Consider the following 18,902-nt stretch of genomic DNA (forward strand, 5'->3'; position numbering starts at 1 on the left):
AATTAGCTGGGCGTGGTGGTGGGAGCCTGCAATCCCAGCTACTCGGGAGGCTGAGGCAGGAGAATTGCTTGAACCCGGGAGGTAGAGGTTGCAGTTGGCCAAGATCGCACCATTGCACTCCAGCCTGGGCGACAACAGCAAAACTCCGTCTCAAAAAAAAAAAAAAAAAACACCTTTTTTTTTTTTTTTTACTATGTTCCTGGAAAGAAATAGGCAGCATGGTTCACAAATCTAAATTTATTCAATGTAAAGGGCTATCATTTATTCTAAAATTATTTACTTCTTACTTTGTGAGGGTGACACGCCTTTTCTTTGTATGAAATAATTGTTGGTGATAGATTGTAGTATGTTTGTAAATATACCTTACCTGTTGGAATAAAGTTTGGAAATACTCTATTGAACTCTCTAATTTTTATTGAAATATAATAATAAAAATTGAAATGTAAAAAATTAAAAGGTCACTTATCTTAGTGATCTTTAGGCTCCTTTCGGTCCTGAGATGCTGTAATTCTAGGCACTAATTATTCAGCATCGTTAAGGAGTGAGAGTCTCTTCCATTTGATTTGTCTTCCCAGTCAGCCTGGAGTGGGGCTGGCACATGTTAGGCCCTGCCTTCCTTGCGCACTCCTTCTATGCTCATCACTGTCTGGCTTCTCTTCACACTTTTACCACATAAGTGTGTATCCCTAAATACTATCATTTATGCTTTGCGTGTATTTGGCCTTTATAAGAACAAAATCATAGAAAACGTGTCCTTTTGTTTCTGTTCTCTTTTGCCCAACACTTGAAAAAAGAAGATCGATCTGGATTGTCGTGGATAGCTTTTATTTTGCGGCGAAATATAGCCAGAATATAGCACATTTATCGATTTTACTTTGATGGACACCTTTTCTACTTTTGGCTATTTTGAATAATGCTTCTCCAACATTCTTATTCATATCCCCTCATGCAGAGTAGAGAAGAACTGATAAGTAGAATATTTTATATTAAATATAACCTTTGTGAAAATCAAGTATCCTTTCCATGCACAACGACTGGCCCAATCCTTATTGCCCAAAAGGGACCCATGATTGAAATTCTTTCAGCCTGTTCACAAAACCAGGGAACACATATCCAAAAGTATCAAGTATGTTGTTGGAAATATGAAGAGGTCAATTTGCTGATTTTCCCCCTACTTCAGATATGTCTGCCTGAATTGGGTCAGTCTCTCTCTCTCTTTTGTTTTCAGGGTTCAGTTGTTTTTTTTTTCTTTTAATGCTTATTTGGAAAATGACTAGCATATACGAAAAAGGTACAAAAATATACAGCTTACTGAATTAGTGTAAGGTGACCATCTGGGTAACTAATGCTCATGTCAAGAAATAAACAACATTTTCAGCACCCTAAAAGTCCCCACAGGAGTCTCCTGGCTGTTCTTTGCTCTTTACTTTTGTATTGAATCTTCAACAATTAAACATAGATTTATCTGGTTTCATTCTTTTCTCTCCTTCCTCTTCCCCCTAACTGCTTGCTACTAGGAAGTCTTTTTATCTAAATTTATTTTATAACAGCATACTTGCTTATGTAATTCCTGTTACTTTCTTTCAGGCTCAAAAAATCTGGTATTATAAAAAAATTATTCTCTCAAATTTTTTTAGTAAAAAATGTTTTTTTCTACATATTTAATAGGGTAGAAAAGAGAATGGAGAATAAATGAACTTAATGGATCATTCAGAGTAACTTTACATGTCATGTGAATTTAAACAAGATGATTAAACCAGGAGAGCACCAGAATGCCACCATGCCTTCAGCTTTATCACAGCTATGCCAGTCTCATTATTGGTACTGGTCACCTCTTCCTTCTCTCCTCCCAAAGTTTCCTCCCCTATTTGGTAATATTTGGCCTCTTTTCTATATATACCAAGTACACTTATTCCTTTTCTTCTAAGTTTTCTATCAAGTCCCCATTTCAGATATTACACTAAAATCTGTATCAATGATAAGACCCACATCTCTCCCAATGATACTTGCATTTAAATAATTATCAAAAACATCCAACGGAATTTTATAAGCTCTAAATAGTATTTATATGCAGGCTTTATATGAAAATATTGATGTAACTTACCGTTAAGAAAAATGGGGTAAATTTTGCAGAAGAGAGACCTATCCCATGAGTCAACCTTTAGGAATGCTACACTGAAATATACAAGCTGAGCATCCCCAAGGAAATCTTGATAGATACAAAGAATATGGAGATTAATCATTTTATTCTCTCAAACAATGTCCCAAAAGACAAGAGAGAAATCTCTTAAACATAAGAAATCACACCAGGCCTAGTGGTAAAGAAATTTTAAATATAAATCATATTAATACACTTGATATTGTAAACATTTCTAACAACAGGGAGGCAGGAGTGTGATATGGCTTGGATCTGTGTCCCTGCCCAAATCTCATGTCAAATTGTAATCTCTAATGTTGGTGGGGCGGGAGGCGGGGGGCGCTGGTGGGAGGTGGGTGGACCATGGGGGTGGATTTCTCGTGAATGGTTTAACGCCATCCCCTCGGTGCTGTTCTTGTGATAGTGAGTGAGTTCTTTCAAGACCAGGTCGTTTAAAACTGTGCGGTACCTTCCCCCTTACTTTTTCTTGCTCTGGCTCCTGCCACGTAAGATACCTGCTTCCCCTTTGACTTCTGCCATGACTGAAAGCTTCCTGAGGCCTCCCCAAAAAGGAGAAGCCGCTATGATTCCTGTACAGCCTGTAGAAATGTGAGCCAATTAAGCCCCTTTCCTTTATAAATTACCCAGTCTCAGGTATTTCTTTATAGCAATGCAAGAACAAATGAATACAGAGTGGAAAGGATCTACACAGGGAAGATTTGGTTAATGATATATTGATGATATCAAGAGCAACATGTATAAAGAAAATGTGGTAAATATACACCACATGGAATACTATGCAGCCATGAAAAAGAATGAGATCATGTCCTTTGCAGGAACATCGATGGCACTGGAGGCCATTATCCTTGGCAAACTAACAACAGGAACAGAAAACTAAATATTGTATTCTCACTTATAAGTGAGAGCTAAATGATGAGAACACATGGATACCTAGAGGGGAACAACACACACTGGGGCCTCTTGGAAGGCAGAGGATGGGAGGAGGAAGAGGATTGGGAAAAATGACTAATGGGTACTAGGCTTAATACCTGGGTGAAGAAATAACCTGTACAACAAAACCCCACGATACAGTTTACGTATGTAACAAACCTGCACTTCTTCTCCTGAACTTAAAAGTTAAAAGAAAAGTTACATAAAAAAAGAGCGACATGTAAAGCTAGTAACCAGGAATCTCAGAGCTGCTGCTTCTTGATTAGAAGTCCCTTTTAAATTCGTCAGATCTATGTAGTGGGTTCTAGTAATCAACTTAATCACCTTGGGTATCCTTATCAATTGGAACTTTTTCCCTCTGGCTCCTTCCTAACAAAAATCTAAATAAAATGATAAAGATTTGTGGAAGGAAGCCTAGGCACCAGCTTGAGATGGCCTAGAGGAAGCAAGATTCTTCCTGGTATTGTGGAAGCCATACCCCATCAACCCTACTTCTGAGGGCTGCTCTGCCTTACCCCTTCTGTTTAGGTAACCCATGTGTTTGGCCACTGACGCTGGTCTGGCCCATCTTTTACCAGGTCCTTCACATAAATTTGGAGGTCAATACATTTCATTAAGAGGAGGTTGAGTTTCATTTGGAAAGCTGGAGAAAATATATTTTACGGAGGATCTTTCCATTTTAACTGTTAAAGCCCACATCTGCTCACTCTTGTGTGTTACTTGCACAAGACCTCTCTACGCATCATCATCCACCTGCTCCAGAGTTGCCAAACAACTGGATTTTGGAAATTAAACAAAACATTAACTACTCAATTATTCAGGAAAGTTTCATAGTATTTCAGGAAATGGTTGTCAGACTTTCAACCCAAGAAATTCATGGCCAGTGTGCTAGTGAATAGAGCTACAAAAGCTTTATTAAAAATTTTTAGCTCTGAACTACATCCGACTGATGGTAACCAGAGACCTGATCGGAGAAGCTTAAACAGATAAGGGGTATATGTTTTGATATTAAAAAAAAATAACAGAGGTAGTCAGGATAAGGCTTGTATGGTGACCACTGCCATCAGGAATGCAGACATCTTCCTCCTTTCTGCCTCACCATCCAGAAGGCAGCCACTCTTCTTGCAGTTTAGCAAAGCCTGAACAATGTGAACAGTTACAGTGAGTTCCAGAGTGGGAGGATGGAGAGGCTTTGCCTTTGAGGGCAACAAGAGAGAAGAGTTAAGGAATATTTCCCCTGAAAGAGAAGAGGTTGGAAGTCAATGGATGCCACATATTTTTGTGCATATTTCTGTGTAGATTTCTGGATGATTAGTGGATCAAAAGGATCTTGATTCATATTTTTAAATTGCTCTCCAGGGAGGTTGTAAAGCAGCAGTCCATGAGAGCGTCTATCTCACTGCCGCTCCTTGGTGATGCTTGCCCTCATCTCCCTATGTACCCCATGCACTCATGCCTTCTCTCCTGTTTTCTATCAAGCCTCAGTTTCATGTATTACACTAAAATGTGATCACTGATAAAAACTGTAACTCTTTTAATGGTATTTGGATTTCAACAGTTGTCGCAGACATCCAAAATTGACCATTGTAATTGCTTTACCTCATTTCCAGTTTGGGATTAAAAACAATATTTCATTGCTTTATTTTATTTTAATGTATTACTAGTAAGTGGATTTTAAAAATATTTATTGGACTTTTGCATTTCTGCTGGAAATTCTCGCCCATATCCTTTGCATATTTAAAATGTGTAGTGTTAGGGTTTTGTTTCATTTCCAATTTACGCAGGCTCTTCTTGTGTTAAAGATATCAGTCCATTGTCTACCATATTGGTTACACACTGATCTTCCAACTCACTGATTCATTCTTCAATTATATTCATCCTATTATTTATTCCATCTCTCATGTTCTCTATATAGAATAGTATAGCTTTCACTTGGTTCCTTTTTGATTTCTTCCTCTTGTTTCATGTATCTAACATCTTTAATCTTAAACTTTTTTTTTTTTTTTTTTTTTTTTTTGAGATGGATTCTCGCACTGTCCCCTGGGCTGGAGTGCAATGGCACCATCTCGGCTCACTGCAACCTCTGCCTCTTGGGTTCAAGCGATTCTCCTGCCTCAGCCTCCCAAGTAACTGGGATTACAGGCCCCCACCACCACACCTGGCTAATTTTTTTGTGTATATATATATATATATATATATTTTTTTTTTTGCATTTTTTGAAACCCCATCAGACAGGGTTTCACTATGGTGGCCAGGCTGGTCTCTAACTCCTGACCTCGTGATCCGCCCGCCTCGGCCTCCCAAAGTGCTGGGATTATAGGCATGAGCCACCGCACCCGGCCAAGCTTTTTTAACATTCATTTTTTATTCTTATTTCCACAATTCTGCTGTAGATGAAATAGGAAGGGAGCATCTGTGTGAGTTTAGGTGAGTCAGAGGAGAGGGGAGGGATGAGCCCCAGGTGGAGCCCTGGGTACCCACAGAACCACTGTTGATCTGTGCCATTTGCTGCCAACTCACTATGCAGCTTCTCTGGTCAGGGTTGCACCATTAAAAACATAGGAAGAAGGGGCCCTATGGGAAGGGAGACTCCCCTCTTCGTTGTCAGCAATAGCTCCGGGATTGAAGGAGAGCAGAGGATTACTCAGCCTTGTGTCTCTTTTCTTTCAATGTCTTGTTCCTATAAGGCTTAGTGCCTGCATCCAAACCATCCTGTGGACACTGGCAGAGGAAGTGTGGACAATTGCAGGATTTTTTGCAGTAAAGAGTCAGTTGCTCTCACACAGTGTCTAATTTACATTAAACATAATGGACACATAGTTCTTTTTAAAGTGAAAAGATGATAGAAAACAGAACACATAAAACATAAAAAGAAAAAGAAAAAGAGTCAATTGGTGGTTGCCCCAAGTAACCTAGGGAAGAGGCCTGTGCAGAATTTAATCAGCTTTTCTGCAACTCCTCTTTTCACTATTGCCTCGGGTCACCCTTCCTCTCAGCTGTAGCCACCCATCTATCCTAGCACAAAACAAGACAACCTTGTCTATTTAGGGACACCTTGCATTTTTTAAATTACTAGTTTCCAGAGTTCTTGTTTCCTCTTGGTTCTGGGGTTTCTCCAGGACTGATTTTGGAGGAAGGAGACAGCAGCCTGGGTAGTTGGTCATTTTATTAGTTTCCTAGGGCTGCTAGGAAATTGCCACAAACTGAGTGGGTTCACAACAGAATTGTATTCTCTCACAGATCGAGAGGCCAGAAGTCCAAAATCCAGGTGTTGGCAGGATTGGTTCCTTCTGGGGGCTCTAAGGGAGAATCTGTTCCATGCCTTTGCCTCATTTCTGGTGTTTGCTGGCAATCCTTGGTGCTCCTTGGCTTGCAGATGCATTGCCCCAATCTCTGCTTCCATCTTCACATTGCCTCTTCCGCTGTGTCTATGTCTTCTCTTCATATAAGGACATTTGTTGTTGGATTTATGGCCCACCCAGATAATCCAAGATGATCTCATCTTGAGGTCCTTAATTTATACATCTGCAAAGATTCTTTCTCCAAATAAGTTCACCTTTACAGTTTCTGGTGGGCATAGCGTTTTCCCCCCATTTATTTATTTATTTATTTTTAACTGTTTTTTTTTTTTTTTTTTTCTGAGACGGAGTCTCGCTCTGTCTCCAGGCTGGAGTGCAGTGGCGAGATTTCGGCTCACTGCAACTTCCACCTGCCAGGTTCAAGCAATTTCCCTGCCTCAGCCTCTCAAGTAGCTGGGACTACAGGCATGTGCCACCACACCCAGCTAACTTTTTTGTATTTTTTAGTAGAGACAGGGTTTCACCATGTTGGCCAGGATGGTCTCGATCTCCTGACCGTGTGATCCACCCTCTGCCTCCCAAAGTGCTGGGATTATAGGCGTGAGCCACCGCGCCTGGCCTAACTTTTATTTTAGGTTCAGGGGTGCATGTGCAGGTTTGTTATATAGGTAAATTGCATGTTGCAGGGTTTTGGTGTACATATTATTTTGTTATCCAGATAATAAGCATAGTACCGCATAGGTAGTTTTTCGATCCTCATCCTCCTCCCACCCTCTATCCTCATGTCTGTTGTTTCCTTCTTTGAGTCCTTATATACTCAGTGTTTACCTCCCACTTATAAGTGAGAACATGCAGTATTTGGTTTTCTGTTCCTCTGTTAGACATAGCTTTTTGGGGGTGGCTATTGAATCCACTGTTGTTGAGCTGAAAATTCCAAGGGCAGCTGGTTCACCTGTACTTGTTTTCATTAATTCATCCCAGCAGGGCATCTGTGTTACCTGATATACTACCTTTGCCTCTTGTGAGACATGCATTCCTGAGCTTTGGAGCCAAATTCCCCTAGAATCCACCAAAAGGGCCTTCTTTCTCTCTCGAGTCTCCAGGAGGTCATAAGAACTCTTATTAAGAAGACATTTCTCGGTCTGGCTTGGAGGAAAGCCGTGCATTTGTCCCAGGCCCTTTGACCTTCTCTCTCCTCTGTCACCCATAATAGAGACTTAATAGACATGCCTAGCAGGGCCAGACTATATAAAAATCTATAAGCCATTAACCATAGCTGTATTAAACTAATAAGAATCAATTCCCACACTTGCTTTCAAAGGATGCTGGGCTTCAGAAGTGACATGAAAAGTGACAGTCTGCATCTGGGCTGTGATCAGAGGGGTCTGGCCTGGAGCAGTCAGCTCCTCAGAGTTCACAAATTGTCTGACCCTCAGGAGAAGGCTCTTGGCATAACCTTAGGAGGATGATTCATCAGGAGTCGAGAAGTCCATTCCTTAACATGGACAAGAAATGAAGGGTCCAGGAAAGATTGAAAAGGGAATTAGTAATGGCCAAGCTCCCGAAGTCACTGGGCTTTGAAAACCCTGAGTTTTGCTTTGCCGAACAGCTCTGGGTTGCATTATGCCTATTGATCTTCCTGAGCTTTCGCAGCCTGTAAATGATGAGCCTTTTAGCGCACTCCATGACTGAAGGGCACACAACTGTGAGAACAGCTCATTTCATTTTTTTCAATTTATACAAAAGATGCTGTGGCCCAAGCCCTCTAGGCACCCATCTCAATACATAAATATGCCAATTAAGCTAAATGGAGATCCTGCAGGTTAAAAGTGCCTCATAAAAGAAGGAGGCTTTTTCAAAGCCAGAAAGTTTATCCACAGAAGAAACACCAAATCAACAAAAGTGGATCCATGCCAAGCCATGAAGGCCAGAAAAACAAGGCTTCTGGGATCCAAAAAAGAAGAAAAACAACCATTAGTTGTTCCCTAGAAAACTGGGGAAAAAATACCTTTTAGCTGTGACTTCAGGATTCCAATCAGATGCTACTATTATTATTATTTTTTTCATTGCATTTTCCTGGGCAGGGTTGATGGTTGGGGTGGGTGAGTGGGAGAGGGAGGAAATCAGTCCTAAAGCTGAACTGATACAAAAGTGTCTCAGTTACCCACCAAATGTCACAAGGGCAGGTGTGGGCAAATCAGTGTTAGTTAGATATGCTATAGCCTTGCCACTCAAGCATGGCCCATCACACTCATGCCTGGCAGCCACAGTAGCTGCATCAGCTGGGGATGGCTAAAAGTAGAGAATGCAGGCCCCATCCCACATTATGTTAGCAAGAGACTGCATTTGGCCAAGATCCCCTAACGATTTGCCTGCATATTAAAATGCCAGAAGCCTTGACCTACACTAAATGGCCAGCCTGATACTCACCATCCCATCTCTGGAGAACTTATACTCTTTCTGCCTACCCTACAGCACTGAGGGAGTGGAGGTCTGGATCCAGGGAATGGGCTAAGGGAAAAAGATAGACAAATGGGTTTTTGTCCAGCTTTTAGTCAACTTCAACTGAGTGTAAGAATCTCAGGAGATGCTTCTGAATGGATTTATATACTCAGACTTGTCCATCATACATCTCCAAATCTTTGATGATCAGCTTCCAATCAAAAACTAGGTTTCTTGGGTCATCTTTAACACCTTATTTGGGGTCTGAGGAAATAGCCTCCACTATTGGAGGGCACTGAGGAAAAGTTTGGCAGTTTAGAGAGCAACAGATGGTAGCAGGTGAAAGGATTTTTACTTTATGTTCTTGGCCCTTGGATGTGCTTTTGTGTGAGCCAAGAATGTTGTATAGTTCTTCCAATGTTTCTCCCACTACTAATACTAAAAAGGCTTAGAAATGCCACAGACCCAACAACATCACCAATGTTATCAAAACCATTTCATGAAACTCCAAGCATCTTTGCTCACTCACTCAGTTACTCCCTCAGCCATTGACTCTGTGAGCATTTATCCATTATCTACTTGTCATAAACCCATTGCTCTGGGATTGCTGCCCTCTCGTCTACTTTCTTTTCCTGCCAAAATTTACCCATAGTCATCAATAACTGCCTTCCTTTCCTGAGACCTTGCTGTCTTTATTTCTCTGCCATCTGTCTCTATCCCCATGTCTCTATAGAAATAAGCCTTGAAAATCCCTTCTATCTCTTTGCCAAATGCAAGACAGAAATTCTTGACCATCCAATTGGAAACAAGAACTAAGGGTCGTACTCTCTCTGTGGCTTCCACGATACTGCATTTTATCTGCTTTCTTACTCCTGTAACTTCTCTCTTTCTTTGCTGTCTCTATTTCCTCTCATTATTCATCTTCTCCAAGTTGAAAGAGCAATCACAAAGTTTTCAATTTCCATCTACAGACTCATAGAGTAGATAGGCAGTGGGGCAAGCACTCTACTACACATTTAACTTACATTTTCAGTTAAAGTCACAGCATGCCAACAAGTAATAGTTCTCATTACTATTTTATTTTGTTTATGTTTTAAATAGAGACAGCGTCTCACTCTGTCACCCAGGCTGAAGTGCCATGGCATGATCATAGCTCACTGCAGCTTTGATCTCCTGTAACTTCCTCTCACCTCAGCCTCCTGAGTAGCTGGGACTACAAGGCACACAACAGTATGCCTGGCTAATATTTTTGTTTTAAAATTTTTTGTAGAGATGGGGTTTCACTATGTTGCTCAGGCTGGCCTCTTAAACTCCTGGCCTCAAGTGATCCTCCCACCTCAGCCTCCCAAAGTGCTGGGATTACAGGCCTGGCCCATTATTTTAAAGACAATAAACTCAAGGCTCAAAGGAAGTAGGTAACTTACTCAAGGTTACAGAGCTTGTTAGTGGGGAGCCCAAGCCCATTACATCCAAAATATAACCAGCAGGAATCCGTTGCCCTCTGAGGGAATCTAGAATAATGGGAGCTGAAAGTACTGACCAAACTGTCAGGGCAATAGAAATCCTGGATGGATGGAGGGCTTGGTATGAGGGCTGGAGGGAAACTGGGCCGTAGAAGGAGTCACATAAGCGTTCTAGTCAGAACTGACTGAGGCTGGTGGAGCAAGCTGGGATGGGGGCTGCTTTATGGGAGCTAATGCTGAGATAAGGAAATCAGTCACTTCAGTGGAGGAGAAGCTTGGGTCTAGAGACAATCTTACCTGTTTCACCTATATGCTCTTGAACCCACTTTACCAATTTCCAAGTAGGTATTATCACAAATTAATTCAATCCGGTGAACGCTATTGTGAGCTTTTTCTGTGCCTCATGGCGTCTAGTTGGCAAAAGGGGAAAGACCACGTTGATTTAACTACCCTAAACCTCAATATCAGAGAGACATGGTGTCCAAGCCAAGCTCTACCACACAGTTGCTATAAGGTACTGTACAAGTTATATATCTCTCTAAACCTGTTTTCTTATCTGTAAATGGGGATGATAATAGTTTGTTACTCATTCAATTGATGCAATGTCTAAATAGATTATGCTCAAGAAGCACTTATTACATAGAAATACTCCCTGAAATGTCTGATAGACTGGAGGCTGGCGGGGAGGGGAATAAGACACAGTCTTTGCTCTCAAGGGCTTATAATGGGGTGGGAGAGGGTAGGGAAAAGACCTTGAACTGGGCAGTTTAAACATTTACCCATATTTGTCTCATGGGATTTTCATGGGGAAGCATTTGTTGGGTAAATGTGTGAGATGACAGATTCTATCTTTATCACACTGAACAGCAGAATGACAAAAAGGGACGGAAATGGTGGCGAACCAGATTCTTCCAGCTCATCAGAAGTAATAAACTTCTAACAATAAGAACTGTCAAACAGCAATGAAAGAGGGAGTTTTCCAACACTGCAATTGTATAAGTCAAAGATGGATGGCCCTTAGTAGGAAATGTTTTACAAAGGCATTCGCTGGAACGAAAGACTGAATTTATGTTGTTTTGCTCCTCCCCATCTAGCTGGCCTTTATGTACGAGAGACTCTCAAGGTCAGGGCAACCTCCTCCTCCTCCTCTTTTCTTTCATCTGCTCCTACTGGCCACTCTCTCACTTCTATCTTCTTCTGAGGTCTCTCTTCTGAGCTCCAGACACATGAATCCTATTGCTGATTGAACTCAGAAGGCTCCAATTCCCCAAGACCCAAAAGGAACCTATGATCTTCCCCCACAAAACCTGGTCCTTCTCCAATCTGTGAACCAGAACTCAAAGGCATTTCACAGGCATGTCACTTTCAAAGGACTTCCCTGCCGTGTTGCAAGGCAAAAGTGAGAGAAGGTACTGTCGGTAGAGGGAGATGTCAGATAAGAAAAGAACCTCACAGCCTCTGTCAACACACTTTTCAATCGTGGATTTTTTTAATCTAAAAAAAAAAAAAAGGTTTTAAAATCTGCTATATTTTGAGTTTTGAAAAAAATTAATGTTGCTGTTTTATAACCTCTGACAAGGTTTTATTCTATAGTTGGACAGGTTCTTTCTGTTAATTTGCCTTATGCAAGTGAAGCAATTTTTGTATTTGCGTTTTAACGTATATGATACTCACAAACACACCCATTTAGCCCGACTTCCCCCCAGTGCTACCCATTGCATATGCCACCCACAAAGCCCAACTGGGTGTGGCTGAGTCTAAGCAAGACATAATCATAGAGGCAGATCTGGAGAGGAAGACACATGCCACAGGCCAGAACACAGGTTCAGCAAGATTCTCACTCTAGTTATGTGTATCACTGTTTCTCACTGTCACAGGCAGTTCCTTAGACAGGCACACGATCCAGCCATAGTAAGCGTGTGTGGCCAGCCCCATTCCTGGCTTCATTTTGTCCCCATCCTTGTGTTTCTGTGTAATTTTGCCTAATTATAGTTTATACTATATTATTACATACACTTTATGGAACGAGCTCAAATCCTTTTGGAAAAAGGCAGGATAGATGAATAGATGGGTGGGTGGGTAGATAGGTAGGCACTCTTTACAGCCACCTAGGAAAAGGGCTATTGATAAATCTTTACTGTTTCCATCGATTGATTTCCACTTAGAATTCCCCTCTCTTCTTTTCTTCCTCTAATTCAGTTTCTCTTTGCACTCATCTTCCTCTCTTGCCTCCATCCCTGCTTCTCACCTCATCTCTGGGCCAAGATGGGGTTTGGGCTGACTGCAGGCTTAACACTATTAGAACTTTCCAGAGAGAGTCCCTCAACCATGTTCCAGAAGTGCTAAGCCAGTATTAATTTCCCTGGCTACTTTCCTGCCCTTGTTTCATTTCCTTATTCCCCCCGATCTTCATTCCAGAAAGATCATTTCCCACTTGTATCCCACCCAGGTTGGCATGAGTCTGCTTTTCTCTAAGACTGAGATCAATTTTATCTTGAGGCATTTGGGCATTAACTGTCATAAAATAGATAAGAATTCTGGAGGATGGGGAGTCTTGAGACAAGAACTGTCAGAGAAGAAAGAACCCCAAGTGCTTTCTTCTGGTAGAATGGACATATACTGGGAATGTCCCGTAGTTCTGGAAAATATAATGCCCATGCGTGCCCACGTGCACACACACACACACACATACACCCCACACACGATCAGATTCATCACATTTTAGCCATGCCATGAACCCTCACACATTCCCACAAATTTACTCTCAAAGGGAAGAACTGTCTTCAACTATTCAGCTCTCTCTTTCTCATCAGGACATGGCTTCATACTGGATTAGTTCATGCAAGATAAAGCTGAATGAATCAGCCAGTTCAAAAGTGGAGCCTCACAATCCTCTAAGAAAGAGAACTTTCAGTCAGAAAACATGTAATGAGTACCTACTGCATGCAAGGAAACCTAATAGGCAAATGCAGTGAGGGTGGAGGAAGACACATGAAGATGTGTGCAAGTCAGTCTCTTAAGACTCTTCAGGGAAAGCACCAAAAGCAAAATATTTATTCAAGATTGGCGATTTAGAATCAGCAGATGTGACGGATTATGATTGTTCTTGGCATTCATTGCCACCACATTAATCAAGCCAGATTCTTTCACAATTTACATGGATACATTGTTGCCTTTGAGATAAGAGACAACTATGAATACCGACTCTCCAGGAAAGGCAGTTACCATCAGTCAAGTCCATTACTGAGTCACCAACAGCTAGGAAAATGTTTATTCCCAAACCGCTGGAAGAAGGGGCAGACCAGACAGGGAACCAGTAAGCATTTTTTTTTTTCAGGGAAAAAAGGAAAGAAGCAACAAATTGGGGTATCAGTGCAGACAAACTTCAGGCAACTCTCCCCAAGATTGTGGCCCTCAAAGATACTGGGCAGAAAAGCCTAAAATATACTGCTTATTTTCTTTTGGTTTAGCTGCAGTTGCTATATTTTAATACAAAGCTATGTATTACCTATGCTATAAATAAAAGAACCAAAAACCTACTCTGGCCACACAGTTGTTCACTAGCCCTCAATCTTGAACATTTTGTGATAGGTCCTCATTTGGGTTTAACCCTCTTCCCACAATGTGTCTCTCTCAAATTCTTGAATTGGAATATTTTCATTTCAGCCTCTCTGAGTTTGGCATTGATAATGCTTCTTCTTTTGTGCTTAGCTCTGTGGTCTGCTTTGATAGTCTCCTTTCTAAGAAACTGTCTGTTTCCTCCCTGTTTCTAAGATTAGGCAGTAAAATAATACAGTTTTTTTCTCTGCTTGGAGCCACCATCACCCCCTAATGTATTATGACAGTGTACATAAAAGTGCTTCATAAAGAGTAATGCAATGCACAAATGTTAATTGACAAGATTATGAGTAGCTGTTTTAAGTATCCCAAGTTGACTTCCAATCGCAATTTCTGTTACTAGGTCAAACATAAAATAAAATTGCCCTCCTTGCTTCTGTGATGACTGAACCATTCAGGCACAATGCTATTGTACCCTCACCCACGGTGGGGTGGAAGGGCATGGTGTTGAAGATATAATCTGATGGTCACTTGTGGTAGAATTGCAGGTTCCGGCTGTGTTGGATGAAGGGGAGCCAAAGGCCAGGTTGGCTTGTAGCTGCAAAGCCCGACTTTCCTGCTGGTTGCATCTGCACAGAGAGCTGTGGGGAAGCAAGGAGTCCAGGGGTTGGATGCAGAGCCTGGGGGTGCATGGGACGCAAAGAGGATGGGTGGGAGAGGCCAGTCTGCTGGTTAGCATGTTCCATCTGCTTTTGCAAGGATAGGGCACCACCAGGCTGTAGGAAATCTGTCTCAGTGGGCTGAAAGTGGCTGTGCAGGACACAGGGCTGTGGCTGTGGCTGAGATAGGTAATGCACTGCAGGGAAAGACGAAGGAGCTCTGAGCTGCTGACTAGGACTATAAGCTGGCTGTGTGTGCCTATAGTGAGGTGGGGGCTAAGCAGTCCCATAGGCACCACCAGGACTGCCTTGGAATTGTCCATGCTCTGGTGTCTCCGCAAAAGCAGTTGCTGGGCCAACGTAGTGCCGGATCGTAAGCAATTTGGGTCCAAACATTTGTTTGGCTCTGTCAGCTGCCATGAGGGTGCCTGGGCGATTGTGTCCTCCAGGGCTCCCCTGCGTGCTGAGGAGTAATGTACCTGTGTGAACAGTCAGGCTCTGCTGGTATGCAGCTGATGTCAGGGTGGTCAGGTCACTCTGTTCCTTTCGCCTCCGTTTTTCTTCCTCATGTAAAACTTCCTTGAGCTGCAGGAAAAGCTGGTGCTTCTCTTCCTGTAGGGCCAAAAGCTTCTCCTGCAACTTCAGAATTTGTTCCTTGGTCTCCTCTAGTGACATTCTCTCCTCCATCTCCTTTTTCTTCCTTCTCTCCTGTTCTTCCTTCATCTTCTGTTCCGTCATCTTGTCCACCTCTTCTTTCTCCTGTCGCTTATGCTCCTGCTCCATCACAATGTGCTTGGTGCAGTGTTCTGGCCATGGCGTTGGAAAGCTTGGGGTGCTCCAAGACTGCGGGCATGGTGCTGCCGTGGGCGCTCGGGCCTTGGGCGTCTGGCTCTGTCTCTGACTCCAGACCTCAAACAGGGACCGCCTTCTCTGTGCTTTCTCCGTGTCTCCTGTGCGCCCTGGCCTCTGCGTCACAGCCCGCGGCTGGGCCGAATCCTTCCAGAGTCCCACAATGCTATTATAACAGCCGGGAATCATTTGAAAACGAGCTTCTCTTCACTTGGCGTGTCAGGTGGTCATTTTAAAAACCGGGCTCTATGTTTTTATATATTGGAATTGGTTCAGATTTAAAAGGCACACGCCCCCTGCTTGGAGAGGGACTCAGGCAAGCAGTGGGGAGTGGGACATCAAACTAGGGTCATGGGGACCTGGTTCCACGGTAAATCCTGATGGAAGCATCGCAAGAATGGCCAGCCAAGAGGGAGGCGTTTTGCAATACAAGGCCAATTTTGACAAGGGACAGGTGGTGATTCTGGCAGCTGATTAACTTAAGAGAGAGCCAACCAAGGACCTGAGCCAGCCAAGGGAGTGCTGGCAGGAGGGCAGGGCTTGCCCAGAGGTTCTGGAAGGGAGGGGATGATAGCAGGTGGATACATCAGTGACGGCAAGGTTCCATGACATCCCTGGGAACTTGTGTCAGAATGCTTAGGCACAAATGTCACATCTCCTATATTTATTCTCCCAGGTCTCTTCTGCCTCCTCATAGGTCAGCTGTATTCAACAGACACTCCAGACACATGGGAACTCAAGTTAGACTCTACTTACCATGCTTACTACCTAAGAAATAACTGCTTTTCTAAAAAAAAATTATGAATTCAGAAGCTGTTAGTGGATTTGCAAAAACCTACTTCTTTCCACGTTGGCAGATTTCTGGCTTTGTAGATGCAGAATAGCATGTGGGTAAAACGCCACTTGTGTCAGAAGGTGGAGGGTGGGAAGACTGTGCATGTATGTATGGAGGAATGACAAGAAAGTAATAACATTAGTTTCTTTGGGGGGAAGTGAACTGGAAGGTAGGAAACAGTGATCAGTTGGAGACATCATTGTGCATCCTTTTTACATTTTGAATTTTGAACCGTCTGAATCTATTGTATTTATTTGAGTTTATTGTATTTAACAATTCAAAAGTTAAATTTAAATAATTCCCAGCACTGTGATCATCTGTCACCTTGATGGCTGATGAGGTGAGAGCTGTGACTTTCTCACCATCACACTCATCTTGATGGCCATGTTTTTGGGGGATCCAACATTATCATCGGCTGTCATCAAGTGCATAAACCCTTTCTGAGTTTGTGAAGAACAGATGTATTTATTTACTCTTTCTCTTTTTGTTCATGTCTCTCCTGAGGATGTGGTTTACTATTACTTTATATGGAGATTCTGGCAGGGAAAAATTTGTTCTCGGAGTGGTCTGTCTGGCAGGTGTACATTCCCAGTCTTGGGGATATGATTCAGAAGAAGACTCAAGCCCATATGGAGTCTACAAATACCAAGCTGGGGGCCCAAGTCTAACCAAAATTGGAGGGCATGAGGTGTTATACACGTTGTCAAGGCAGAGGTTCAGATACAGGGACCCTACTCCTACTCCATTTTTTTCTGCTGTTCTTCCCATTGAAACTCCTGGGAAAAGCTGTCTAGATTCTCTACTTGGTCACATCCCCTTTAGTCTTCACTCCTGAAATGGTTCTTATCAGGGTCACTGATAACTTCCATGCTAGGTATTCTAATGGCCAAATCTCTCTTTTCATCATATTTGAACTTATAGCCACATTTGACACAAATTGTCATCTTTCCTTCTTGAAGCAATTTTCTTCATGTTACTGCATGCCTCCTACCTTACTGGGTAAAGCTCTCAGTCTGCCTGATGACCCTTTCTTCTCTGTCCAACTTTTAAATGTTCAAATTCTCTGCTCCTGCCTCTCATCTCTATGCTATCTTCAAACGGTCCTATGCTTTATCATCTGCATGCTCCCTGATTTTCCCAACCCTGTCTCCAGATAAGGTTTCTCCTGAGTTCCAGATACACGTGTCTAACTGCCAGCCCAATAGCTCCACTCGACTGCAAGTGGCCATCTCAAACCTAATATGCTCACAACCAAACTCTCGATTTTCCCTCCCAAACCTGCTCCTGGCCTCCCCTTTACCATTTTATTAAATTTTACCATTTTATTAAATGACACTGAGTTGCTCAGACCAAAAACCTGGGAGATGACCTTTGATTCTTCTTTCCCTCTGCTACCGACAGCCAATCTGTCAGCAAGTTCTGTTACGCTGTCTCCAGAATAGATCCTGAGTCAGGTCACTTTTCAGCAACTTCACTACTAAAAGCCTAGTCTTAATGCCCCGTCTCTCATTTGTTCTATCACAATAGCCTGCTGACTGATTTTCTTGCTTCCTTTCTTGCTCACATACAGTCTGCTTATCAAAAGTAACTGCAGTGAACAGTACACACGATCAATCCAATCTGCTTCAAACCTCAGACTTCTGTTCCGTCTGCCAGAGTTCCTTTCTCTAAATCTTTATATGGCTATGCCTCATCAGCTCAACTACCAGCACTTCTGTGAGGAGTCTCTGAGCACTGCTGCGTAAGCAGCAACCTCCAAGTCACTCTGCATCCAGTTTCCCAGTATAATTTTCTTCATGGCACTCATCATTTTCTAATACTTTACATATTTGTTTGCTTATATGTTTATTGCACATATTCCTCCTACTAAAATGTAAAAGGGAGGTGCTTGGGATGATGCTGTATTAGCTAGGGTAGGCTTGGTCATTCTGCAATAAGAAAAAGTCTCAATCCTCTGTGGTTTTAAACAACAGAGGTTTATTTTTTGCTCAAACTACATGTATAACATAGGCTGACAGGAGAGATTCTCACCTCACACATATTCAGAGGCTCAGGCTGAAGGAGGCCATACCGTGTCATGACACTGTCAACACAACAGGACTCCTACAATTACTAAGGAGGAAGAAGAGGTACAAAGAATCTCACACCATCTCTCAAATGCTTCCACATGGAGGTGACACACATCACTTCTGCTCACAGTAGATGGGTCATGGAAGTCATAAGGCCTTGTCTCATTTCAAGGGGCCTAGGAAATAAAATCCTCACGTTTCCAGAAAGAGAAGAAAACTGGGAATATTGGCAGGTAGCACGTACACCTACCACAATGCCTAGCTGAGAGTAAGTACTCCATAAATATTTATTATAAATGGAATGGGAAAGAAAGACACCCAGTTCTCAGATATGGGTACAAAGTGGAGACCTGGATTTCATGCACAGTGCGGAAGTTTATGAAAACTGGAGCACCAGGTGAGAGCAGGGCAAGCGGCAAGGCTAAGTCAGTGCAGAGTCACCATGTGCATTGGACGAGGGCTCCTGATACTCCCTAACTAGGAATAGAGTAGGTTTCAGAGGCAGAACAGAAAAAAAATGAATGCTTGGGAGAATAAGACTTATTTCCCCTGAGAATTCACTGGAAATGAGAGAAGGGACTCGGCTTTACTAAAGAACCCGAGGCCACCAGGCAGGTCTGCTAATATGAAACCGTGATTT

General features: G+C 42.5%; 1 pseudogene; it reads right to left on the reverse strand.

The window, feature by feature from the left end:
• Positions 14,323-15,460, reverse strand: GPS2P1 (G protein pathway suppressor 2 pseudogene 1; annotated as a pseudogene).

The sequence above is a fragment of the Homo sapiens genome, chromosome 9, assembly GCF_000001405.40.
Source record: "Homo sapiens chromosome 9, GRCh38.p14 Primary Assembly".
NCBI classification, from domain to species: Eukaryota; Metazoa; Chordata; class Mammalia; order Primates; family Hominidae; genus Homo; species Homo sapiens.